This window comes from Homo sapiens, chromosome 22 (assembly GCF_000001405.40).
Source record: "Homo sapiens chromosome 22, GRCh38.p14 Primary Assembly".
Taxonomy (NCBI): Eukaryota; Metazoa; Chordata; class Mammalia; order Primates; family Hominidae; genus Homo; species Homo sapiens.
This window is the reverse complement of record NC_000022.11, coordinates 21,776,767-21,803,367: the sequence shown is the minus strand read 5'-3', so window position 1 is coordinate 21,803,367 and position 26,601 is coordinate 21,776,767. Positions and strand designations below refer to the sequence as shown.

General features: G+C 43.4%; 1 protein-coding gene and 1 pseudogene across 2 annotated transcripts in view, besides 4 other annotated features; one reads left to right on the top strand and one right to left on the bottom strand.

The window, feature by feature from the left end:
• The window catches only part of MAPK1 (mitogen-activated protein kinase 1), a 108,024-nt gene that overhangs the window by 64,313 nt on the left and 17,110 nt on the right, over nucleotides 1-26,601 (top strand). For both annotated transcript variants that reach the window (NM_002745.5, NM_138957.3), the window contains exons 4-6: nucleotides 4,240-4,356; nucleotides 14,560-14,674; nucleotides 14,980-15,111. In NM_002745.5, coding sequence (NP_002736.3) covers nucleotides 4,240-4,356; nucleotides 14,560-14,674; nucleotides 14,980-15,111 — 364 coding nt within the window. The remainder of the gene's footprint in view (nucleotides 1-4,239; nucleotides 4,357-14,559; nucleotides 14,675-14,979; nucleotides 15,112-26,601) is intronic.
• Nucleotides 5,642-5,842: a silencer, noted in NCBI's record as "peak4466 fragment used in MPRA reporter construct". NCBI's record gives its function as "represses an SCP1 promoter by STARR-seq MPRAs in K562 erythroleukemia cells {active_cell/tissue: K562}" and the evidence as "EXISTENCE:reporter gene assay evidence [ECO:0000049][PMID:32103011]".
• Nucleotides 10,724-11,923: an enhancer, noted in NCBI's record as "BRD4-independent group 4 enhancer chr22:22145734-22146933 (GRCh37/hg19 assembly coordinates)". NCBI's record gives its function as "activates an origin of replication core promoter dependent on BRD2, P300/CBP, MED14 and CDK7 cofactors, and independent of BRD4, by STARR-seq in HCT116 cells {active_cell/tissue: HCT116}" and the evidence as "EXISTENCE:reporter gene assay evidence [ECO:0000049][PMID:35650434]".
• On the bottom strand, nucleotides 10,844-10,934 carry RNA5SP493 (RNA, 5S ribosomal pseudogene 493; annotated as a pseudogene).
• Nucleotides 11,378-11,427: an enhancer, noted in NCBI's record as "active region_18711". NCBI's record gives its function as "activates an Ori minimal core promoter by ATAC-STARR-seq in GM12878 lymphoblastoid cells {active_cell/tissue: GM12878}" and the evidence as "EXISTENCE:reporter gene assay evidence [ECO:0000049][PMID:35858748]".
• Nucleotides 13,463-13,606: a silencer, noted in NCBI's record as "fragment chr22:22144051-22144194 (GRCh37/hg19 assembly coordinates)". NCBI's record gives its function as "represses an EF-1alpha promoter that drives an FKBP-Casp9 reporter gene in an ReSE screen in K562 erythroleukemia cells {active_cell/tissue: K562}" and the evidence as "EXISTENCE:reporter gene assay evidence [ECO:0000049][PMID:32094911]".

Below are 26,601 nucleotides of genomic sequence, written 5' to 3'. Positions count from 1 at the left end.
TGCTTGACATCATTAGTCAGTAGAAAAATGCAAATCAAAATTACATTGAAACAACTTCATGCTAACTAGGATGGCTGTAGTTAAAAAGTCAGATAATAAGTGTTGGTGAGGATTCCACTCCTTAGTGAAAATGAAAACATGCATCTATACAAAAACTTGAACACAAATCTTCATAGTGGTATTGTTCACTATAGCCAGTAAGTAGAAACAATCCAAATGTCCAGCTGATGATGAATAAATACAGTGTGGTGGATCCACACAGTAGAAGAGAAAGGAGTGAAGTACTGATAATGCTACAACATGGATGAATCTTGGAAACATGTCTGTGAAGGAAGGCAGCCACAGAAGACACATATTGTATGATTCTGTTTACGTGAAATGTCTAGAATAGGCAAATCCATAGAGACAAAAATTAGAATTAGTGGATTACTGATTGCCTAGGGCTAGAGGAGTTGGGAGAATAAAGAAGGAAGGAATACTAACTCACTGGAATTTCTTTTTGAGGTTATAAAAATATTTTCAAATTGGATGGTGGTAATGGTTAATTTCCACCATTATAATACTAAAACCATTGAGTTATACACTTTAAATGAGCAAATTGTATGGTGTGTGAATTATAGGTTAATAAAGCTGCTTAAGTACATATATATGTATAGCAATAATCATTTATTGGATTTCAGTTCAACAGACACTCCTATGAGAAGCCCTTTGAGATACGCCAGACAAGAGAGATGAGGGTCTGCCCTTGAAATCTGAAAACTGATAGATCAGAAATCTGGTAGACAGTAGGTGATTATAATGAGATGTTCTGTAACTGAGATGGAGAAAAAGATGGTGTACAAATGCAAAGGAGAGAGGTGGGCTAGCGCTGGCTGGGACTGGGAGGCAGCAGGAAGAAGGTGGTATCTGTGCCGGCCCTCGAGGTTGGGTAGCTTTTCTTGCGGGAGGCCAGTGGCTCTATTGGACATAGGGTATCATAGGCAGAGAGTACAGAAATAAAATAAGAAGGAAGGGACTACTACCGAAAGCACTGAGTCTTCCTCCCTGTGGCTGCAGCATTGGATGAGTAATAGGGAGTCATCGACACTAAGCTAAAAAGGTTGGTTGCAAGTAGATCGTGGGGAACCTTCTAGAACTGTGTGTAAAAAGCGGTGGGTTTTGTCACGGTGGGTGAACACGGTGGCCAATGTCCAGTGAGATGTAAAGGACAGCTTCCTTCATCAGATATTGTGTGGATTGGACTCTGTCCCCTCTTAGGATCCTTCTGATACAGGTTTATGTCTTTTCCACATGGGATGGAACCAGCTCCTTTACCTGGATCAGTGCAACCAAGAGTCAGGTGGGCACAAAACGAATAAAGCTATGTTTAGGATGGCTGTACTACTTCTTTGGCACTTAATGATTGTCTTGAAAATTTGCAGTGAATATTTTTATGTCTCCTCGTGTTTTTTTTTTCTTTTGGTTATCATCATAGCCCTGTTATGGCAGATTGCTTTTGTTTTTGGAGAGACATTCTCAATCAATATTTTAAGCATATAACATTTCTGGGAAGAATTGGCTCTTATTTTTGCTTGAAAGTGTTCATCTTTAAGAATAAAACAAATAGAACCAGACTACTCTCTCTGTTGTCTCTTCCCAGTTTATGGACTTGTCTTTAAGGCCATTCTGTTCACCTACTCACACTCACACACACGAGTTGTTGGCCGTGGCATAATTTAGGCATCGTCTTGAAAACCCAAGTTAACACAAAGAATCAGAAGCATAACAAATTGACTAACATTTTATTTTATTTTATTTTATTTTTATTTTATTTATTTTTATTTTTATTTTATACTTTTTCGAGATAGAGTCTTGCTCTGTTGCCCAGGAGTACAGTGGCATGATCTCAGCTCACTGCAACCTTCACCTCCTGGGTTCAAGCAATTCTCCTGCTGAAGCTTCCTGAGTAGCTGAGATTACAGGTGCCCACCACCATGCCTGGCTAATTTTTGTATTTTCAGTAGATACGGGGTTTCACCATATTGGCCAGGCTGGTCTCGAACTTCTGATCTCGTGATCCGCCCGCCTTGACCTCCCAAAGTGCTGGGATTCTACAGGCATTTGCCACCACACCCGGCCTTTACTGATATTTTAAAAGTATACAGCAGTCAGGTGCCATGGCTCACGCCTGTAATCCCAACACATTGAGTGGCTGAGGCAGGCGGATCGCCTGAGGTCAGGAGTTCAAGTCCAGTCTGACCAACTTGGTGAAACCCTGTCTCTACTGAAAATACAAACAAATTAGCTGGGTGTGGTGGCGCACACCTGTAATCCCAGCTACTTGGGAGGCTGAGGCACGAGAATCAGTGGGAGGCAGAGGTTGCAGTGAGCTGAGATGGCACCACTGCACTCCAGCCTGGGCAACAGGGTGAGACTCCATCTCAGAAAAAAAAAAGTATACAGCAATGTGTGTGCATCATTCTCATGGGTATAAATGCGAGAAGAGAGAATCTCATTCAAAGATGAGTATGGTATGTCACTGATTTGTTACAGTGAGCGTGTCAAAGCAGGGCAAGAGGCAGTGGCAGTTCAGTGTGCATATGACAGTTGAGAACACCACATGAGGAGAGGACTTGTGTTTGCTGGAGCTCTGGGATCACTGCACATTTATCACATCCTCAGTGCCATGTGACCATGATGCCTATTCCCACAGGCCCCTTGGCCTAGGAAGTTTGTAACTTGCAGCGTCACTGACCTCCTGTTATTTAGGTCCTTTCAGATTTTCAAGAAGATTTCTTCAACCTTCATCCAATGACTTCTATGTTACAGTGTTTTTTACTCTTGAACCCTTACCAAAATATCTTGAACCCTTATCGATATCAGCTATTATCAGTGTCTTAGACCTTTAACTTTTGGCTCTGTTATCAGTCAAGGCCGACAGAAATAAGCTTGCTTTTTGGTTTCCATAAACATGCTTTGCACTTATTTTATGAAGCTTAAGACCCAGCAGACATTGACATCTTAGGACCCTTCCGGGATCCTCTCTTGTAGACTTTATTCTTCAGGACCACAGGAACTCACCAGGGTTACAGACCCTATTTGGAGGCTCTGCTAGCACATTTCTAGTGTAACTACCAGGGAACGTGAGCTATACTAGTCTGTGCCCTTGTTTACTAGACTGATCCCACAGAAATCCCAGTAGGAGTCACAAGATGCTGGGATCACAACATGTGAAAATTCTGGCTATGCCTATGAAAGAAAGACTCTGATAGATACAAATGAAACACGTCTTTGGGGCATCCTTTGTTTTTGAAAATCTGAATTTACACAGCCCAAAAGGTATATTTTCTTGTACCATATCCTTATTTATTTTCCTTTGTATGGAATTATACTGAGTACTACTGCTTTTTTATTTTGTAGCCTTGGCATTGTATTGATTAGTGTCATGTAAATTTGGTTAGTCTTTGATTTTATAGTGTTGACAGACCTTAAAAAAAAATCATGGCCAGGCATGGTGGCTCACACCTGTAATCCCAACACTTTGGGAGGCTGAGGTGGTTGAATCACCTGAGGTGAGGAGTTCGAGACCAGCCTGGCCAACGTGGTGAAACCCCATCTCTACTAAAAATAGAAAATAAGCCACACCATGATATTGGAGGGCCAGATGATGAAAGGCCAGTAGATGCTTGAGACCGGAGAAAATGAGAAACTATGTATTTTTTAAAAATAAAATATTCTTAAGTATATGAAACTTTAAAAAAAAAAAGCTTTGGGAGTAGGTTTGACTACCTAGAAGAAGGAAGTGGGAAGAATCTTTGGAAATACTTATATTTATAGACTAAGTAGAAGACTAGCAGAAAGTAGAGTCTGAGAATAGAAGGCCAGTGCAGATCTTCACAGCAGTCCTGAGAGCTCCAGCAGGACAGGCTGAGAAAAGGGTACTGGTTGGTTTTGGTGACTACTCAGAACAGTTTTTGTCAATTCACCTATTGAGATTGCTTTGTGCTAAGCAGATAATGAAAGGTAGGGATGCTTCTTAAAGTGTGCTCTGTAAAGACTTCTTCAGCCTGCATCCTGGTCTCTAACATGTTGATTGCTTTTCAGGTTGTTGGGAAAATTAAATAATGATTTTCTAGAATGCCCAGAAAGTATCTGCCACTTAGTAGCATTATTATTCCTATTGCCTTTTTTATTTTTGTGATGTTTTGATATGAAAGGTTAGAATTTCTAAGAAGTTATCCTGTTTTTTTTCTCTCTTAGATCTGTGACTTTGGCCTGGCCCGTGTTGCAGATCCAGACCATGATCACACAGGGTTCCTGACAGAATATGTGGCCACACGTTGGTACAGGGCTCCAGAAATTATGTTGAATTCCAAGGTAAGGATGAAGTTTGCATAAAAAGAAATCCAGTAAGTAAGAGAACTTTCTGAATGCATTGCAGTAAGCCGTAAGTCTCCCTCTGCGTTGAGAGTTTGCCTGTCTGGCCAGAGACAAGGTGCTGTCTTTTTTGAGACAGGGTGTTACTCTGTCACCCAGGCTGGAGTGCAGTGGCACCATCACGGCTTACCAGTCTCAACCTCCTGGGCTCAAGTGACCCTCCTCACCTCAGTCTCCGGAGTTGCTGGGACTACAGAGTGCACCGCTACACCTGGCTAATTTTTTTTTTTTTTTGAGATGGAGTCTCACTCTGTTGCCCAGGCAGAGTGCAGTAGCACAATCTCAGCTCACTGCAAGCTCCGCCTCCTGGGTTCACACCATTCTCCTGCCTCGGCCTCCCAAGTAGATGGGACTACAGGCTCCCGCCACCATGCCCGGCTAATTTTTTGTATTTTTTAGTAGAGACGGGGTTTCACCGTGTTAGCCGGGATGGTCTCTATCTCCTGACCTTATGATCCGCCCACCTCAGCCTCCCAAAGTGCTGGGATTACAGGCGTGAGCCACTGTGCCTGGCCACATCTGGCTAATTTTTAAATTTTTTTTGTAAAAGTAGGGCGTCTTCCTATGTCGCATGTTGCCCAGGCTGGTCTTGAACTCCTGAGCTTAAGGGATCCACCCACCTCAGCACCCCCCACGCCCCCCGCAAAGTGCTGGGATTACAGGGATGAGCCACCACACCTGGCCCCAAGGTGCTGTCTAAATTTTGTTCGGCATTGAACTTCTGGGCCCTAGGGCTCAGCCTCTCTACCTCAGCTGATATAGTGCTGACGGTTGTAGAGTAGGAGGGGGTGTGCCTCTCCAGTCACTGTTACCATAAGTGGTCTGTGTTTCACTCCTTGGACAGCTGTCCTGAAGTCCTACCTATCGCTGTCACTGTTAGGTGCAGGCTGGGTTTGTTGTAGAGGTTATTCAGTAATGTGTATTTCTGTGAACATGGGCCAGGGCTATTCTATAAAGGTCAAATTTATCTGATAATGAAGAATGTCTCTTCGGCAGAATTATATTGTAATTTGTTGTACTTGAAGAAAACATAAATGTGGACAGAGTAGGAACTGCCGTGGATTCTTTTGAAATTACGTGATTTCCTGCTTCCAAATGAAGTGCTTTCCTCTGCATCTGTGAGTGGCTATAGAGAGTGCATCCAGGTCTCATCCACACTCTACTAGCAAGGTCTGTGTCTTGGTCATAAGAAATGGTTGAATAAGTTTACAAAAGCCCAGAAAAGTGAAGTCTGACATTTTTTGTTGGGTTTATGAGCCAGGAGGCAAAAATTGAGGGCTGCTATGGAGATTGAGATTCAGTATTTTTCTGTTATTTGCAAATAATATATGAATAAGGTGTGAAAATTGAGTAGTTAAGTAGGCCTGACATACTACCTGTATCTAGTATCTCAGGATTATAAGATTCTTAAACACAGTTCCCTCTGCTGTCATGTAAAGATACTTGAAGAAAAGCAATAAAAATAGACATTGGATCTTGTATCTAGGGCCCAGGAACCAGAAATAGTCCTGAGAGGCTTAGTGGAAATGAAAGAACAGGTCTAATTAGCTTATAGTCTTCTTTTTCTTCCTCCATCCTTTATTACTAGTACAGATAAGCTATTAGATTTTTTCATAAGGAAATGGAATTTGTTTAAAGCATTTAGTTTTTCTTGATATCCTACATTTGTTCAGTTTAGTTATAAAAGTAAAATCTCATTAACATAAATTCCATTATAAAGAAGGATTTGGTGTAACAGATGTTTCAGAGAAGAAAATGCCATGTTGATTCTCTGTAATTCTATATCACAAATAATCCCACACAACAGGTTCTTTCTCTGACTGGCCACGTGACAGCCATTCTAAACAAGGAGCATTGGCATGCCAGTGTTCAGTGCCAGTTGTAAAGGGAGCTGTTGGTGTGCCTTTGTCCTGGTGTGGCTTGGTCTTGCAGTCTCCGTTCTGACTTAGACGCCGCCACTGTCTCCACTTCTCTATTACCCTCCAGGGAGAAGTAGCCAGAGAGGGTGTTCTTCAAGATGACCAGCTTTTCCTTCTACTTGCAGGGTCACCAAAGTGAAAATTGAGTGTTCATTTTTTTCTTATTTGCGATACCTGTAGCCTGAGAATGTTACTTCTAGCAGTTGTCTTCATTTTGTTTATTTTTATTAATGTAGAAAATTATCAAACCCATAGAAAAATTGAGAGTAGAGTGAATACCCATATGCCCCTGTCCTTGGTTCTCCAGCTATTAACACCTTGTCATATTTCTTATCCCTCCTTCCCTCTCTTACTCTTTCCTTTCTCTCTCTCTTTCTTCTTCTGTCTCTTCTCTTTTGTCAGACCATGTGACACTTCACCAACATATAACACTTCACTCCTAGACCCTTTGGGGCATACTAATGCTCCTTACAAGGAAGGTGTTCTTCCCACAGCTAGAGTACCCTTACCCTTTCATAAAATGATCAGCATTAATTCCATGACATCCCATCCTCCCAAAAAAGTCTAGGTAACTCTGTTTTCAACACATGATTTAATTGTTTCATGCATTATTCTTAGTCTAGAACAGTCTTGCCCTTCCTCTCTTCTTTAAGACATTCAGTACTTTGCAATGTACAGATCAGTTGTTTCACAGAGTGGTTCACATTGTGGATTCCTCCAGTGAGTTCTTTCTGATGAGATGTAGCTTGCACGTTTCTAACACGACCACTACAGATTCCTGAAGACGGTGCAGAAGTAGCTGGGACTACAGGTGCCCGCCACCACGCCCGGCTAATTTTTTTGTATTTTTAGTAGAGACAGGGTTTTACCATGTTAGCCAGGATGGCCATCCTTGTTTCCCAGCAGCCTTCCCCCAGTGGTTCAGCACTCACTTCTGTCAGTTATCATACTGGAGGTTATAAAATGGTAATTTTCTAAATTTGTTCTTTCTTTTACTTGTATTAGCTAGAATTCTCCTATGAAGATTTTTCCCATTTACCCTTTCTCTTCCTCTGTATCCTACCTTTGTTTTTAAAACACTATTGCAGACCCAGGATTTTTTTTTTATGTGTTCTCCATTTTAATTTTCTTTCTTTTTTTTTTTTAAACTCATATTGTCCCAGTTTTGAGAAGCTAGAGCACTCTGTGTACATATTTGTAACGTTTTATAGAATTTCAGCTTTCAGAAAACTTGCGCTGTTTTAGCTTGTTTAGGAAAGAAAAAAAATTTTTTAAAGAAAAGTTGCTGGGTGTGGTGGCTCACACTTGTAATCCCAGCACTTTGGGAGGCCGCGGTGGGTGGATTACTCGCCAGGAGTTCGATACCAGCCTAGCCAACTTTGTGAAACCCCATCTCTACTAAAAATACAAAAAATTAGCCAGGCATGATGGTGGACACCTGTAATCTCAGCTACTCAGGAGGCTGAGGCATGAGAATCGTTTGAACCCGGGAGGCAGAGGTTGCAGTGAGGCAAGGTCACACCACTATACTCCAGCCTGGGTGGCAGAGTGAGACTCTGTCTAAAAACATAAAAGTTGCAAGAAAAGTATAAGGTAGCCATTCTCAAACCTTCTTGTCTCAGGATACCTTTACATTTCTTTCTTTCATTGGTTCATTCTTTCTTTTGTTCTTTCTGTTTTTTTTTTTTTGAGACCGAGTCTCACTCTGTCACCCAGGCTGGAGTGCAGTGGTATGATCTCGGCTCACTGCAACCTCTGCTTCCCAGGTTCAAGCGATTCTCATGCCTCAGTCTCCCAAGTAGCTGGGATTACAGATGCATGCCACCAAGCCCAGCTAATTTTTGTATTTTTAGTAGAGACGGGGTTTCACCATGTTGGTCAGGCTGGTCTCAAACTCCTGACCTCAAGTGATCCACCCCCCTCAGCCTCCCAAAGTGCTGGGATTACAGGTGTGAGCCACTGCGCCCAGCCTCTTTTTTTTTTGAGACAGTCTTGCTCTGTCACCCAGATGGAGTGCAACGGCACCATCTCGGCTCACTGCAACCTCGGCCTCCTAGGTTCAAGCAGTTCTCCCTGCCTTAGCCTCCCAAGTAGCTGGGATTACAGGCACCTGCCACCACGCCTGCCTAATTTTTGTATTTTTAATAGAGATGGGGTTTCACCACATTGGCTGGTCTCAAACTCCTGACCTCAGATGATCCACCCACCTCAGCCTCCCAAAGTGCTGGGATTACAGGCATGAGCCACCGTGCCTGGCTTTTTTTTTTTTTTTTTTTTTTTGAGACGGGGTTTCTCTCTGTCACCCAGGCTGGTAGCCACCCCCTCCTCAAGCGATCCTCCAGCCTTGCCTCCTGTGTAGCTGGGACTACAAGCGTGTACCACCATGCCCGGCTAATTTTTGTATGTTTTTGTAGGGACAGGGTTTTGCCATGTTGGCCAGGCTGGTCTCAAACTCCTGGGCTCAACTGATCCACCCACCTCAGCCTCCCAAATTGCTAGGATTGCAGGCATGACCCACTGCGCCCAGCCAAGATCCCTTTACATTTGTTAAAAATTATCAAGGACCAGCTGGGCATGGTGGCTCACACTTATAATCCTAGCACTTTGGGAGGCCGAGGCGGGTGGATCAGTTGAGCCCAGGAGTTCGAGACCAGCCTGGCCAACATGGAGAAACCCTGTCTCTACTAAAAATACAAAAAATGCACTGGGCATGGTGGCACACACCTGTAATCCCAGCTACTTGGAGGCTGAGGCAGGAGAATCGCTTGAACCTGGGAGGTGGAGGTTGCAGTGAGCCGAGATCTTGCCACAGTACTCCAGCCTGGGTGACAGAGTGAGACTCTGTCTCAAAAAAAAAAAAAAAGTCAAGGACCCACACACCTTTTTTTAGTTACGTAGGTTATATCTATTGTTATTTACAATATGAAACTTTTTTTTTTTTAATTTTTGGAGAGAAGTCTGGCGCTTGTCCCCCAGGCTTGAGTGCAATGGCTCAATCTTGGCTCACTGCGACCTCTGCCTCCCGGGTTCAAATGATTCTCCGGCCTCGCCTCCCGTGTAGCTGAGACTACAAGTGTGTACCACCATGCCCGGCTAATTTTTGTATTTTTTAGTACAGATGGGGTTTCACCATGTTGGCCAGGCTGCTCTTGAACTTCTGACTTCAGGTGATCCACCCGCCTCGGCTTCCCAAAGTGCTGGGGTTACAGGCATGAGCCACCACACCCGGCCTACAATATGAAACTTTAAAATGTATTAATTAATTTTTAAATAGTAAACCCACTACATGTTAAGATAAATTACATGTTTTTCTTAAGAATAAGTTTATTTTCTACAATAAAAACGTTTTAGTGAGGCCAGGCATGATGGCTCTCACCTATAATCCCAACACTTTGGAAGGCCAATGCAGGAGGATCACCAGGAGTTTGGAACCAGCCCTGGTGACATAGTGAGACTCTGTACAAAAAAGAAATTTATTTATTTATTTATTTATTTTTTGAGACGGAGTCGTGCTCTGTCACCCAGGCTGGAGTGCAGTGGTGTGATCTCAGCTCACTGCAAGGTCCGCCTCCCAGGTTCACGCCATTCTCCTGCCTCAGCCTCCCGAGTAGCTGGGACTACAGGCGTCCGCCACCACGCCTGGCTAATTTTTTTGTATTTTTAGTAGAGACAGGGTTTTAACCATGTTAGCCAGGATGGGCTCAACCTCCTGACCTTGTGGTCCACCTGCCTCGGCCTTCCAAAGTGCTGGGATTACAGGTGTGAGCTGCTGTGCCCTGCCATCTGTACAAAAAATTTTAAAATCAGCTGGGCATGGTGGTGTGCACCTATAGTTCCAGCCACTCAAGAGGCTGAGATGGGAGATTTTCTTGAGCCCAGGAAATTGAGGCTGCGGTGTACCGTGATCACGCCACTGCACTCCAGCCTGGGCAACAGGGTGAGACCCTGTCTTTAAAAAAAGCAAAACGAAAAACAACCTTTTAGTGAGAAGAGTGGCATTGTTTTCATTTTTGCAAGTCTCTTTAATGTCTGGCTTAATAGAAGACAGTTGGATTCTCATCTGGTTCTGCATTCAGTCTGTCAAATATGTTGTTTTGGTTTAAGTTCATGAGGAAAACTCTTTTTTTTTTTTTTTTCAGGCTTTAATCAATTTAATAATCAATATAATATTACATGCATAGTTCTTCAAAAATGTCAAGGAAAACTCTTTCCCATGGATTTTAACTGCTTGAATTCAGAGCATAGAAAACAGAAGAAAACTTGAGTGCAATATTAATAAAGACCCTTTAAAAAAGATGTTATATAAAAAGAAAAATCGCAAGCCAGTGAAAAATACATGCAAAATTCTAAATAACATTTTAGCAAACAAAATCTATGCTTAAAAGCATAACACACAAAAAAGTGAGATTTTTCCCTAGTATGTAACAGTAATCAGACATTTTATCAAGACATTTACAAATAAGCCTAAAAATAGATGTCTGAGTGCTATTTATGAAATTCAAGATCTATTCCTCCCATCCAAGCACTAACCAGGCCAACCCTGCTTAGCTTCCGAGATCAGACAAGATCGGGCGTGTTCAGGGTGGTATGGCCAGAGGAAAACTCTTCACACAGGTATGTAGCTGGAAAAAGGAGGGAAATTTTAGTAGTCTTTTCAGCCACTTGTGGCTATTCTTTGATCCTACCCCCAGTTTAAACAAGTGGTGGTTTCTTAAAGGTTAATTGCAGTGTGGAATCTGAAATCATATCAGTGAATTCTTGATACTATTTCGTTAAAATCCATTAGTCTACCTTGCACTCATACTCATGCATGATTTTTTAGCGTATTTGGAAAATACTGGTTCACTGAGTTACACAGATATTCCAAGTGTCACATTTTCATGTACACATCATCACTCATCATATTGCATCTGGAAAAATCTTCTTTTCACTCGTGACTGAAAAGGATGAAAATGTCATAGTAGTATAATAAATGTACTGTGACCTCTCAGATCCTCTAGAGGGAACCCATAGGAGTCTCTGGAACACTCTTGTAGAACCGCCAGATAGAACTCCTAAATACCCTTTACCCCAGATTCAGGCTCACCGATTTTTTATCTTTTGCCCCATTTGCTTTATCATTCTTTGTGTGCATGTGTGTGGGCACTCCCACGCACTCTGAGTCATTTGAGAGTAAATTGTAGATACACCCCTTCACCTTGTTTCAGTATGTCTTTACTTCAAACCATGGTCCTGTTGTTCCCTGGGGACATGTGGCAGGGTTGTCACAGTGAGGGGTAGGGGTACTCCCTGCATCAAGAGGCCAGAGATGCTGCTAAAAATCCTACGATATACAGAACAGCCCTCCAAACAGAAACTTTCTCAGCCCAAAATGTTAGTCATACCGAGGTTGAAAAACCCTGCCTTAAGAGTATTCTCTAACATGACCACAGTACAGTTTTCAAAATCAAGAAACTTAATACTGATTCAGTATCTAATGCACAGTTTATATTCACATTTTAGATATTATCCCAATAACCTTTGAACTATACCCCACCCAAACCACCCCCCGACCTGGGCACAGGTTCACATGTTGTACTGTCATGAGTTTTGTTTGTTTGCTTGTTTGCTTGCTTGTTTTAAGACCAGGTTCGCAGGCCAGCCACAGTGGCTCACACCTGTAATCCCAGCACTCTGGGAGGCCAAGGTGGGTGAATCACATGGGGTCAGGAGTTCGAGATCAGCCTGGCCAACATGGCAAAACCCTGTCTCTGCTAAAAATACAAAAAATTTAGCTGGACATAGTGGCAGGCACCTGTGATCCCAGCTACTCAGGAGGCTGAGGCAGGAGAATCGCTTGAACCCAGGAGGTGGAGGTTGCATGAGCTGAGATCGTGCCATTGCACTCCAGCCTGGGTGACAAAGCAAGACTCCGTCTCAAAAAAAAAGGACGGGTTCTCATTCTGTCACCCAGGCTGGGGTACCGTGGCACCATCTCGGCTCACTGCAACCTCCGCCTCCTGGGCTCAAGGCCATCCTCCCACCTTAGCCTCCCAAGTATCTGAGACTACAGGCACGTGCTACTGCTCATGGCTGATTTACTTATTTATTTTTGTGCTTTTCATAGAGACAGGTTGTTGTGTTTCTTTAGTCTCCTTTAAGAGTGCAGATGAGCTATTTTGTAGAATGCCCCTCAGTTTTGGGTCATGCATTTTTAACATGAATACCAGAAAAGCACTTCATTGTATTAGAAGGCACTTCTGGAGCCAGGTATGGTGCCTCATGCCGTAATCCCAGCTCTTTGGGAGGCTGAGGCAGGAGGATCATTTGAGCCCAGGAGTTTGAAACCAGCCTGGGCAAATAGTGGGACCCCTTCTCTACAAAAAATTTAAAAATCAACCAGGTGTGGTGGTGTATGCCTGTGGCCCACCTACTGTGTGCCAGCTACTCAGTAGTGCCAGCTACTCAGGACCTGGCTGAGGTGAGAGGATCACCTGAGACAAGGAAGTTGAATTTGCAGTGAGGCATGATTACACCATTGCACTTCAGCCTGAGTGACAGAGTGATGACACCATCTCTTAATTTTAAAAGAGTCAGCTTATATTCCTTGGAGAAACATCTTTTTTGCACCATTGTTATGATTCAGACAGAATCCTTCCATGATTTTTTTTTTTTTTTTTTAATTTTTAGAGAAAGGGTCTCACTCTGTCACCCAGGCTGGAATGCATTGGCTCGGTCACAGCTCACTGCAGCCTCCAATCCCTGGGCTTAAGTGATCCTCCCACCTCAGCCTCCCGAGTAGCTGGGACTGCAGGTGTGAGCCACCATGTGTGGCAAAATAATAATAATAATGATAATAATAATAATAATTAGTTAATACCCAGTGTTGTTGAGGACATGAGGAAATGCATTTTCTTTCACATGCTGCTATTAGGAGTGTAACAGTGCAACTGCAGTCATAGTTCACTGCAGCCTCAAACTCCTGGCCTCAAGCAGTACTCCCACCTCAGCCTCCCAAAGTATCCTCCCATGACTTCTAACAGGATTCCTTTAAAAGAAAACATATTCCTGAAAAATGAATAGGAAAAGAAGATGAGAATTCTTTTATTTTATTTTATTTGTTATGTTATGTTATATGTTATGTTATGTTTTATGTTATGTTTATGTTATGTTATGTTATGTTATGTTATGTTATGTTATGTTATGTTATATGTTATGTTATGTTATTTTTGGAGATGGAGTCTCCCTGTGTTGCCCAGGCTGGAGTGCAGTGGTGCAATCTCGGCTCACTGCAACCTCTGCCTCCTAGGTTCAAGCAATTCTCCTGCCTCTGCCTCCCAAGTAGCTGGAACTATGGGTGCCCACCACCACGCCCGGCTAATTTTTGTAGTTTTAGTAGAGACAGGGTTTCACTATGTTGGCCAGGCTGATCTTGAACTTCTGACATCAGGTGATTCGCCCGTCTCGGCATCCCAAAGTGCTGGGATTACAGACGTGAGCCACCATGCCCAGCTGAGAATATTTTAGAAGAGATTGGTAAAATATGATGGAGCTAGCACACACTCCCCCAAACCCAGAAAAGGTTTTTAGACCTTTTTTCTTTTTCCAGCTCCAATTTATGACAATTCTAAATCTGTCTCTCAAATTGTTTCAAAAAAGGACGGATGTATACTTTGGAAATTCTAATTTAATAAGTTAATCAACTTTGTGGGTTTGTTGTTGTTTTGAGACAGAGTCTCGCTCTGTCACCCAGGCTGGAGTGCAGTGGCACGATCTTGGCTCACTGCAACCTCTGCCTCCTGGGTTCAAGCAATTCTCCTGCCTCAGCCTCCCACGTAGCTGGGATTACGGGCACCCACTACCATGCCCGGCTAATTTTTTTGTATTTTTAGTAGAGATGGGGTTTCACCATGTTGGCCAGGCTAGTCTCAAACTCCTGGCCTCAAGTGATCCGCCCGCCTCGGCCTCCCAAAGTGCTGGGATTACAGGCATTAGCCACTGTGCCCAGCCCAAGTTAATCAACTATGAAGAGAAAAATAAAATCACATAATCTTGGTTGTTCAGCCTCTCATAAGAAAGCCAAATTGTTTTTTGCTTTTCCATGTTGTTTACTTGTATTTCTGAATTGTAGAGTCAAAGGAGAAGTTCAGAGTCCCATCAGCAATGCACCTGTCATACAGGAAGATCTCATCATGTCCTGTAACACCAGATACCATTTTCAGTCTTTTCTCTCTTTCTCCTGCAGGGCTACACCAAGTCCATTGATATTTGGTCTGTAGGCTGCATTCTGGCAGAAATGCTTTCTAACAGGCCCATCTTTCCAGGGAAGCATTATCTTGACCAGCTGAACCACATTTTGGGTAAGGTTCCCGAGCCCTTCAGGAGCTAGATTTACTCAAGTTTGTACAGCTTACATCAAAGTCACTTCATTAAATTAAGAAGAGTTCTAATATACTCTTTAACCTGTGGTAGGTGTGAATTTTTAACCTTCTCTGATTTAAAATGTTAAGGACTTTTGTGTAAAAACATAAGAAAGGTAAACATCAGGAGTGGTGATAAGCAACGGCTCATATCAATTATCAGGGTTCATTCCGACTCAGAGTTGATGGTGTGTAGTCATTTACCTTGGTCCTGATAACTAATAGCTAATTTTTTTATCTGATAGGTATTCTTGGATCCCCATCACAAGAAGACCTGAATTGTATAATAAATTTAAAAGCTAGGAACTATTTGCTTTCTCTTCCACACAAAAATAAGGTGCCATGGAACAGGCTGTTCCCAAATGCTGACTCCAAAGGTAAATGTTATTTCGTTGATTAGTTTTTTCTTAGGCTTAGCTTCGCGTTTATTTGTTAAATTGTTAGGTCACTAGCCTGAAAAATGAGCCTATGGCTATTGGATAATGCTTTCTTTAGTGCTCACTCTGAATTGTTGTCTTCCCCCTTTTTTTTTTTGGAAACAGTGGCAGTGCAGTAAGGGAACCTGGTAATGACGGTCTAGTTCTCCACCTTTTGGTTTCTTTGCTAATTTTAATTTGCATTAAGGTCACTTTTTTTTTGTTTTTGTTTGAGACAGTGTCTCACTCTGTCGCCCAGGCTGGAGTGTAGTGGCCCGATCTCGGCTCACTGCAACCTCCTCCTCCCGGGTTCAAGCGATTCTTCTGCCTCAGCCTCCCAAGTAACTGGGACTACAGACGCGTACCACCACGCCTGGCTCATTTTTGTATTTTTAGTAGAGACAGGGTTTCACCATGCTGGCCAGGCTGGTCTCGAACTCCTGACCTTTTGATCTGCCCACCTTGGCCTCCCAAAACTGGGATTACAGGCGTGAGCCACAGCGTTCAGCCTAAGGTCACATTTTTAGGTCTCAGGAAGTCTAGGACCCTGCAAACAAATTACACCTTTTCATCTTGTCACTTGATAATTTTTAAAATCAGGTTTATTGAAGAATAATTTACACAGAATAAAATTCACACTTTTTAGTTGTGTGGGCCTCTGAGTTTTAACAAACATAAACTGTCATGTAACAACCACCGCAATTGAGATGTGGAATATTCCCATCATCCCCAAAAGTTGCCTTGTGCCGTTTGTAGTCAGTCATCCCTCTGCAACCCCAAGCTCTGGCAATCATTGATCTGATTTATATCCCTATAGTTTTGCCTTTTCCGGCATGTCATGTTAATGGAATCATGTAGTATGTAGCCTTTTTATGTCTAGATTCTCCCATTCAGCATAATGCATTTGAGATTTATAAAAATCCATGTCATTGTTTGTGTCAGTCTCTTCAGCAAATGGTGCTGGAACAATTAGACACCCATATGCAAAATTTACAAAACTCAAAATGGAGCATAAACCTAAATATAAGGCCTAAAGTTATTAACCTTCAAGAAGAAAACAGGAGAGAATCTTCATGACCTTATGTTAAGCAAAGATTTTTTAGAGTACCCATGAAAAAAAAAAGTGATACATTTGATTTTTTTATCCTTTTTTTTTTTTAGGTTAGCTTCGTTTAATAATTGTATTATTCTTTATTCCCATTTAACGTGTACCTGTTAAATATATTAGGCAGCTAGTTTTTAAAACTTCATGCTGTTATAAAACCATGATAGGCCGACTAATGACCCCCCACCCACCCCCATGGCTGTATTCTAATTTCTAGAGCCTATAACTATGTTAGGTTACCTGGCAAACAGGAATTATGGTTGCAGATACAATCAAGATTGTTTATCAGCTGACCTTATTTTTTTTTTAACTGCTCCTTACAGAGCAGGGCTAATCCACGGGCAGTGTGGTATGCCCCGAATAGGCCCATCAGCTGACTTTAAAGATAGGAAGGTTATCCTGGATTGTCTTGTCTAGGTAGGTGGATTATCTAGGTGGGCCCATTTATAAAAACAGGGTTCCTTAAAAGTTGAGGAGGGAATCTGAATAGGGTGCTTGTCCTTCCATATCTTTATCTACATACATGTGCATATTTTCTCTATAATTTATTTTTTAAAAATAATTATTATAAAGGTTAACTTTTTTAAAAATTCAGAAATTATAGAAATATTTAAGAAGGTAAAATTCTTTTATAATTATTCCCTAAATGTCATGGTTAATAGAATTGTGTCTTGAATATCTTTTCCACATCAGTGCATAGATCTAGGTTATCGTTAATGATTTTATAGCATTTTTATCCAGTGTTCTGTTAGAAATTTAGCTATTTCTAACTTCCTATTTTATCTGTATGTGTTTATCTATACATGCATATGAATATATGTGTATATGTATATTTAACAACTGTCTACTTAAATGTTGAATTGGTTTTATGTATTGACCTGAGTGAAGGTTGAGAAATACTTGGTTGTTTAGAAATGAATTTCTTTTGAAAATGGGAGAAATTTTCTTTTAATCTTTCATATAAAGGTAGAAGAATTTCATCATTGTAGACAGTTAAGAAGTATGGGAGGAATGGTAAGGGAGTAAGATATTGATCACCAGGATCCCACAGTAACCTTTCACTTTTTTTGCACTAATGTGTGCAAGCTTCTGTGTGGTTGTAATTATATAATGTATTTTGGTTTTGGGGTGTTTTGTGGTTTTTTTTTGTTTTTTTTGTTTTTTGTGGTTTTTTTTTTTGAGACAGAGTCTCGCTCTGTCGCCCAGGCTGGAGTACAGTGGCGTGATCTCGGCTCACTGCAAGCTCCGCCTCCCGGGTTCACACTGTTCTCCTGCCTCAGCCTCCCAAGTAGCTGGGACTACAGGCGCTCGCCACCACCCCTGGCTAATTTTTTGTATTTTTAGTAGAGACGGGGTTTCACCATGATAGCCAGGATGGTCTCGATCTCCTGACCTTGTGATCTGCCCACCTTGGCCTCCCAAAGTGTTGGGATTACAGGCGTGAGCCACCGTGCCTGACCGGTTTTTGGGGGTTGGGTTTTTTTTTTTTTTTTGGAGACGGGTTTGGCTCTATCACCCAGGCTGGAGCACAGTGGCACAATCTGGGCTCACTGCGGCCTCCACCTCCCAGGCTCAAGCCATCCTCCCACCTCAGCCACCTGAGTAGCTGGGACTACAGGTAGGTAGTCCCACCTCAGCCATCTGAGTAGCTGGGACTACCTGTGCCACCATGCCCAGCTAATTTTTGTATTCTTTGTAGAGACAGGGTTTCGCCGTGTTGCCCAGGATGATCCCAAAGTCTTGAGCTCAAGCTATCTGCTCACCCTGGGCTTCTGAAGAGTTAGGATTACAGGTGTGAGCAACCACACCCGGCCTGTAATGTATTTTGATGGTAGGATATTTTTAGCTAGAATGTCACATGCATAATACATGTTACTGATTAGATTTGCTTGTATATTATACCACCTAAGCATGTTATCTAAATGTTACTAAATGTTATTTCCTGAGTCACTTTTTTAAAGAGCTGCATAAGCAACAAAGCTGCATCATTAGGCCTGGTAATGTGGCTCATGCCTGTGATCCTAGCCCATTGGGAGGTCAACGCAGGAGGATCGCTTGAGGCCAGGAATTTGAGACCTGCCTGGACAACATAGTAAGACCCCATCTCTACAAGATTAAAAACTTAAAATTCAGCCGAGTGTAGTAGTACCTGCCTGTAGTCTGAACTACCTGGGGAACTGAGGAGGGAGGATTGCATGAGCCCAAGGAGGTCAAAGCTGCTGTTAGCTGTGATTGCATCATTGCACTCCACGCTGACGGTGACACTCTTATCTCTTAAAAAAAAAAAAAAACAACAAAACTGTAATAAATAGGCCTACTCCCAAACGTTCCTCTCCTGTTTGTTTCCTTACTCTTGTCTGTAATCATGAGTTGCATCAAACTATTTCTGATTCTTTTTTTATGCTTATTTTCATTTTCATTTTTTTTTCTTTCTTTTTTTTCTGAGACGGCGTCTCACTCTGGCTGGCGCCCAGGCTAGAGTGCAGTGGTGTGAACTTGGCTCACTGCAACCTCTGCCTCCCAGGTTCAAGCAATTTTCTGCCTCAGCCTCCCGAGTAGCTGGGATTACAGGCGCCCGCCACCACGCCTGGCTAATTTTTGTATTTTTAGTAGAGGCAGGGTTTCACCATCTTGGCCAGGCTGGTCTTGAACTCCTGACCTCATGATCCACCCGTCTCAGCCTGAGCCACTGTGCCTGGCTGCTTATTTTCATTTTCTTTTTTCTCCCCTCCCTTCTCCTCCTTTCTTTCTTCCTTTCTTTCTTTCAAGTTTCACTTCTATCGCCCAGCAGGCTGGAGTGCAATGGCGTGATCTGGGCTCACTGCAACCTCTGCCTCCCGAGTTCAAGTGATTCTCCTGCCTCAGCCTCCCAAGTAGCTGGGATTACAGGCATGCGCCACCACGCCCAGCTAATTTTGTATTTTTAATAGAGATGGGGTTTTACCATGTTGGTCAGGCTGGTCTCAAACTCCTGATCTCAGGTGATGCACCTGCCTCAGCCTCTCGAAGTGCTCGGATTACAGGCGTGAGCCACAGTGCCCGGCCTTCATTTTGTTTTTTGTTTTTATTTTACTTTTTTTTGAGACAGAATTTCACTCTTGTTGCCCAAGCTGGAGTGCAGTGGTGCGATCTTGTCTCACTGCAACCTCCACCTCCCAGGTTCAAGCGATTCTCCTGCCTCAACCTCCCAAGTAGCTGGGATTATAGGCATATGCCACCATGCCTGGCTAATTTTTTGTATTTTTAGTAGGGATGGGGTTTCGTCACAGTGGCCAGGCCGTTCTCAATCTCCTGACCTCAGGTGATCTGCCTCCTCGGCCTCCCAAAGTGCTGGGATTAACAGGCATGAGCCACCGCACCTGGCCTTACTTTGTTTCTTTTGAGATGGGGTCTTACTCTGTTGCCCAGGCTGGAGTACAATGGCGTGATCACGACTCACTTCAGCCTCGACCTCCCTGGGCTCAAGCGATCTGCCCACCTCAGCCTCCTGAGTAGCTGGGACCACAGGCGCATGTCACCACGCCCAGCTAATTTTTTGTATTTTTCTTAGAGACAGTATTGCATCACATTGCCAGACTGGTCTTGAATTCCTGGGCTCAAGCAATCTACCCTCCTTGGCCTCCCAAAATGTTGGAATTACAGGCTGGGCATGGTGGCTCACGCCTATAATCCCAGCACTTTCAGAGGCCGAGGCGGGCAGATCATGAGGTCAGGAGATCGAGACCATGGTGAAACCCCGTCTCTACTAAAAATACAAAATAATTAGACGGGCGTGGTGGTGGGAGCCTGTAGTCCCAGCTACTCAGGAGGCTGAGGCAGGAGAATGGCATGAACCCGGGAGGGAGAGCTTGCAGTAAGCCGAGATGGTGTCACTGCACTCCAGCCTGGCCGACAGAGCGAGACTCCGTCTCTAAATAAATAAATAAATAAAAATTTTAAAAAATTAGCTGGGTGTGGTGGCAGGTGCCTGTAATCCCAGCTACGCAGGAGGCTGAAGTGGGAGAATCGCTTGAACCCGGGAGGTGGAGGTTGCCGTGAGGCGAGATTGCACCATTGCACTCCAGCCTGGGCAACAGAGCAAGATATGGAAAGATGTTAGACCTACAAATGCCAGTGGTATGAACATTCACACAATCCTGTGACGCAGGTACTATCGACAATCGTCTATAAAAGAAAACTGACTGGGTGCAGTGGCGCATGCCTATAATCCGAGCACTTTGGGAGGCTGAGGCGGGAGGACTGCTTGAGCCTAGGAGTTCAAGACCAGCCTGGGCACCATAGTGAGAACCCATCTCTACAAAAAATACAAAAATTAGCCAGATGTGGTGGTGCATGCCTATAGTCCCAGCTACTTAGGAGGCTGAAGTGGGAGGACTGCTTGAGCCCGGGAGTTTGAGGTTGCAGTGAGCTATGATCATGCCACTGCACTCCAGCCTGGGTGACAGAGCAAGACTCCATCTCAAAACAAAACCAAACAAAAACACAATCTAAAAGTAGAGACGGGGTTTCACCATGTTAGCCAGGATGGTCTCGATCTCCTGACCTCCTGATCTGCCCGCCTCGGCCTCCCAAAGTGCTAGGATTACAGGCGTAAGCCACTGAGCCCGGCCTAATTTTTTTTTATTTTTAGTAGAGACGGGGTTTCATCATGTTGGTCAAGCTGGTCACGAACTCCTGACCTCAGTTGATCCACCTGCCTTGGCCTCCCAAAGTGCTGGGATTACAGGTGTGAGCCACTGCACCCGGCCTCTAGTTGTTAAAGAGTGACTACATGGTGTTCCCTTGTAGGGATGTGACCCATAAGTGTCCTTCAGCCAGACTCACATTGGACATTAAAGTTTACATCAGTTACCTATTGCTGCATTAAAAAAACACTCCAAAACTCAGGCTTGAAATAACAGCCATGCATTTGTTCATGAGTCCATTGGGCTGGCACAGCTGGGTAGTTCTGCTGAGCCCACCTGGGTTCAGCCATGCACTGCAGTCATCTGCTGGCTCCCTTCACCATCCCTCAATTGTGGTGGTTTAACGTCTTAACAGTTGGTCCTTCCTACAGTTGCCTCTTTATCCTAAAGTAGACTAGACTCAGTGGCTTCTCATGATGGCAGAAATATTCCAAAAGAGCAAGAGCCTATGCTGCAAGGTCTCTTGGAACCAAATCTCAGAACATCACTTCAACAGTTCTACCATGTTTTTTTGTTGTTGTTTTGAGACAAGGTCTTACTCTGCCACTCAGGCTGGAGTGCGGTGGCACAGTCTTGGCTCACTGCAACCTCCGCCACCTGGGCTCAAGCAATCCTCCGCCTCAGTCTCTTGAATAGCTGAGACCACAAGTATGTGCCGCCATGCGTGGCTAATTTTTTTTTTTTTTTTTGAGACAGCGTCTTGCTCTGTCTCCCAGGCTGGAGTGCAGTGGCACGATGTTGGCTCACTGCAACCTCTGCCTCCCAGGTTCAAGCGATTCTCCCACCTCAGCCTCCTGAATAGCTGGGATTACAGGTGCGTGCCACCACACCTGGCTAATTTTTGCTTTTTATGTATGTATGTATTTATTTATTTATTTATTTTCGAGACAGAGTCTTACTCTGTCACACAGGCTGGAGTGCAGTGGCGCGATCTCGGCTCACTGCAACCTCTGCTTCCCAGGTTCAAGCAATTCTCCTGCTTCAGCCTCCCGAGTAGCTGGGATTATAGGCACATGTCACCATGCCCAGCTAATTTTTGTATTCTTAATAGAGACGGGGTTTCACCATGTTGGCCAGGCTGGTCTCGAACTCTTGACCTCGTGATCTGCCCACCTTGGCCTCCCAAGGTGCTGGGATTACAGGCGTGAGCACCGCACCCAGCACTGTTATTTTTCTTTTCTTTTTTTTCTTTTTTTTTTTTTGAGAGGGAGTCTCACTCTGTCACCCAGGCTGGAATGCAGTGGTGCAATCTCGGCTCACTGCAGCCTCTGCCTCCCAGGTTCAAGCAATTCTCCTGCCTCAGCCTCCCTAGTAGCTGGGGCTACAGGCGCGCACCGCCACACCTGGCTAATTTTTTGTATTTTTAGCCAAGATATTGGCCATGTTGGCCAGGATGGTCTTGATCCCGTGACCTCGGGATCCACCCGCCTTGGCCTCCAAAAGTGCTGGGATTACAGGCATGAGCCACCACATCTAGCCAGTTGTTTTTATATTTTTAAGAAAACATACATAAATTCATTCATTCAGTGGATAGATTTGAGTGTCTGTTTGGTGCCATCAAGGCTTCTAAGGCCCTGGACATACATAGTACCAGCAATAAGAGGGATTAAGAACCTGTTTGGAGATGGGAAGTCTGAGGACTCATTAAAAAAAAAAGAGAGAGAGAGCTTTCTTACAGAACTGATAGTCTAGATTTGTCAGGAAATGAATGGAAGACCTCAGGGAACTCAAGAGATTAAAAAACTTACAAGCTAGAATTTTTAATGAGAGTTCACAGAAAAGGAAGATGAAACAGCTCTTAAATATATAAAAGGTACTCATGTTTACTCATTATACAAGATACAAACATTGAAAAGTCAGTAATTCTTTTTTTTTTTTAACGCCCTCCTCAACAGAGTAGCAGACATCAAAGTTTGACACCCTACTGTGTGGTCAAGGCTGTGGGGAAAAGGGTGTTTTCGGAGAGAGCTGGTGGAGTGTAAACTGGTTGAGTCTCTGTAGAGGACAGTCTGGCAATTCTGTCACATGTCTTTTGTTCCAGCAATTCTGGGTATTGAACTTTTAGGTCTGCCAACCAAATGGGGGAGTGGCATTTAATTTGTTTTTCTGTAATTAAGAGTGAGATTGAAATTTTTTCATGTTTGTTGGAAATTTTTGATTGCTGTATCCCTTAAACCGACACTATTGTAGATTTTTCTTTAAAGGAGTCTTAGCTTACGATTCTCTCAAATGACTTCAGTGAGGGAGAAGAAATTATTATTCAGCAGATGGTACTGGGCTAGTTGAATAGCTATTTGGAGGAAAATCAATTTAAATCATTACACATCAAAATGAATTCTAAAAGAATTGATACTTATTTAAAATTTATATCATGAGAAACTAACAATAGAGTATTCAGTATTTTTCTGATCTCTGCATGGAGAAAGACTTCCTATGTTTTAAAACAAACATCAAGGAAAGAGAGACATATAAAAGTTTAAAAGCTAAATAAAATTAGATTAGGTGTGGACAATAGGTCTAAAATGTTCTAAATTGAGTAACACTGGACCTTCTCCTAACTGTTCTGTAGAAGGCAGCAAAGTACAGTGGTTATACCCGGTGCTCTGGAGTCCGCCTCCTGAGTTCAAACTAGGGTTCTGCTACTTGGATTTTTGACTTTGGACAAGTTATTTAAGCTGTTTCATGATTTCCTCAACCCTAAATTGAGACAATTGTAGTTCCCACCTCATAGGATAATTAAAAGAGTTAAGGAATTATTGTTAACTTTAGATTCATTATTAATATTATTAGTATCTAAAGAGCAGAGACAAATCTAAGACCACAGTGTATAAATAAATGAGCAAAGGACAAGAACACACAGTCTACAGGAAATACTGAGATGAGGAAAACTATAGGAGGAGCAGTTTGGGTGACAGCAGTTGAGAATTTGGTTTAGTCTGTGTTTAATTTAAGGCACCTGTTAGGCATTAGAAACAACCTAAGTGCCAAATGTTAATCAAATGGCTGAGTAAATTATGAGACATCTACTTAAAGGAATATTTTAAGGCCGCTAAAAGTGATTTTTTTTACAAAGTTTTGATAGTGGGGGAAAATGCTAATGAACAGTATTTACTAAGGGAAAATAAAACAGCATTTGTCATACATAATATGATTTCAGCCTTCTACAAGAAAATGCATAGAAAAGAATTCAACAACATATGTGAAAAGATAAGCAGTGGTTACCATTGAATGATGGTGCTTGGGGAGCAAGGGAATGTGGGTGAGTCATTCACACAGACCAGAAGGCCGGGTTTGGTGGGTCAACCGTCTGAGGTCTTTTCAGTTCCACAGTTCCACATAACAAGAACTTACTGGCCCAAGAAAGAGCTTTATTGGCTCTGATAACTGAAAAGTTCAGTCACATGTGGATTGATGGGCACAGACACTGTGTCTAGAATCTGGACTTCTTTATCATCCAGTTTTGCCTTGCTCTGGGCTGTCTGTCAGTCAGCCTCTCTTTTCATGATGAGAGTAAGACACTTGACCTGATCACTGCAGCCAGGACTTAGGCTGACTCTCATCACCTCTTTGTGCTCAGCTTGGATGCCATGCCTATCCCTGAGCAGTCACTGTGGCCAAGGGGACTCAGGTGAATATGGCCCAGTGAGTGTCACCATTCCCACAGCACAGCCCAGGAGCGTGGGCAAGCCTGAGCGCTCCCCTATAGCAAACACTGTTGGATGGATTAGAGGGGCAGTGGATGCTGGTGGGCACAACCAGCAGGTGATCCCGAGAGTGAGGGAAGATAAGGAATTCTATTTTCTCCCCCCCACCCCCCCCCTTTTTTTTTTCCTGAAGAGACAGGGTTCTCCCTCTGTTGCCCAGGCTGGAAGGCTGGAGTGCAGTGGCACAATCACAGCTCACTGCAGCCTCGAACTCCTGGGCTCGGGCAAGCACCGTGCCTGGCTAATTTAAATAAATTTTGTAGAGATGGGGTCTCGCTATGTTTCCCAGTCCTGTCTTGAACTCCTGGACTCAAGGGATCCTCCTGCCACTACCACACCCGGACCCCCCCCGCCCCCCGTTTTTTTTTTTTTTGTTTTTTGTTTTTTTTTTTGAGATGGAATCTCACTCTGTCGCCCAGGCTGGAGTGCAGTGGCGAGATCTCGGCTCACTGCAAGCTCTACCTCCCAGGTTCACGCCATTCTCCTGCCTCAGCTTCTGGAGTAGCTGGGACTACAGGCACCCACCGCTATGCCCAGCTAATTTTTTGTATTTTTTAGTAGAGACGGGGTTTCACCGTGTTAGCCAGGATGGTCTTGATCTCCTGACCTCGTGATCTGCCTGCCTCAGCCTCCCAAAGTGCTGGGATTACAGGCGTGAGCCACCACTCCTGGCCCCCACTTTTTTTTTTTAAATTAAAAAACGCAATTTCTATAAGAAGTCTGTCTCCATTTCTCAGATAACCTAATGTTTGAAAACCTTGCAGACTTTATTACACATATAGATACATACATTGATTGTAAATGGAATCATAGGCTATATATTTTATTACCTACACAAACTTGGATTTATTGATCTACAGCTTGGTCACCCTCAGCTCAATATAGCTTTGGGAGGTATTTAACCTGTGGTCTTTTAAATCTTGCAAGAGATTGAAAAGATAGAAGAATGAGATTGTGGCCGGGTGCGGTCACTCATGCCTGTAATCCCAGCACTTTGGGAGGCCGAGGCAGGTGGATCACTTGAGCCCAGGAGTTCGACACCAGCCTGAGCATCATGGCAAAACCCCGTCTCTGCCAAAAATACAAAAATAAGCCTGATGTGGTGACACACACCTGTAATCCCAGCTACTCGGGAGGCTGAAGTAGGAGGATCGCTTGAACCCAGGAGGTAGAGATTGCAGTGATCTGAGATCAGGCCACTGGATTCCATCCTGGGCAACAAAGTGAGACCCTGTCTCAAAAAAAAAAAAAAGAAGAAGAAGAAGAAGAAGAGTGAGATTGTGAGAAGTTGGAGAACACAAACCTTCAGCCAGTGATGGAATAGGGACAAAGAAAAGAAACTAGTGCCATGTGATATCACAGAAGCAGAAGATGGCATTTTGAGAAAGTAGGCATGCACAACAGTGTCCATGCAGCAGAGAGGTCTAGCAAGATATAGATTGGAAAATGTGGGTTGATTTTCCAATGAGGGGCTTGTTGGTGACCATGCAAGAGGAGTTGAAACAGTGAATGGAAGTGAGAAATTTGAAATGGAAAGTGGAGACAGAAACGACTGGTCCACATGAGGGGAAGGGGTTGTGGACCAGGCCACAAGTTGGGGAGAATTGACTTTGAGTAGAGAGAGGATATCTTTCTTGGCAGTGTCAGTAAGGGTGTGTGTGAATCTGGCTAGGAGGGAATTCCGCGAAGATCACTCTTGGGTGCCTCAGTTTTCTCTGTAGCACCCTCAAGAAGATATGCTGAGAGTAATGAGGGTCAGTTAGCAAGAAGGTCATGATTCAAGCCGTGCAAGTTGGGTGAAATCTGAGAGTAGAGGAGGGGACTGACCAAAGCTTTCCAGAAGCTGTTGAGGGCCTTGATGAGGCTGAAAATCTTGAGTTTTTGTAGAACGGTAGTTACTGATAGTGTGCTCCTTAAACACCTGAGATCCCCAGGATCCTTTCAGGGTGTCCACAAG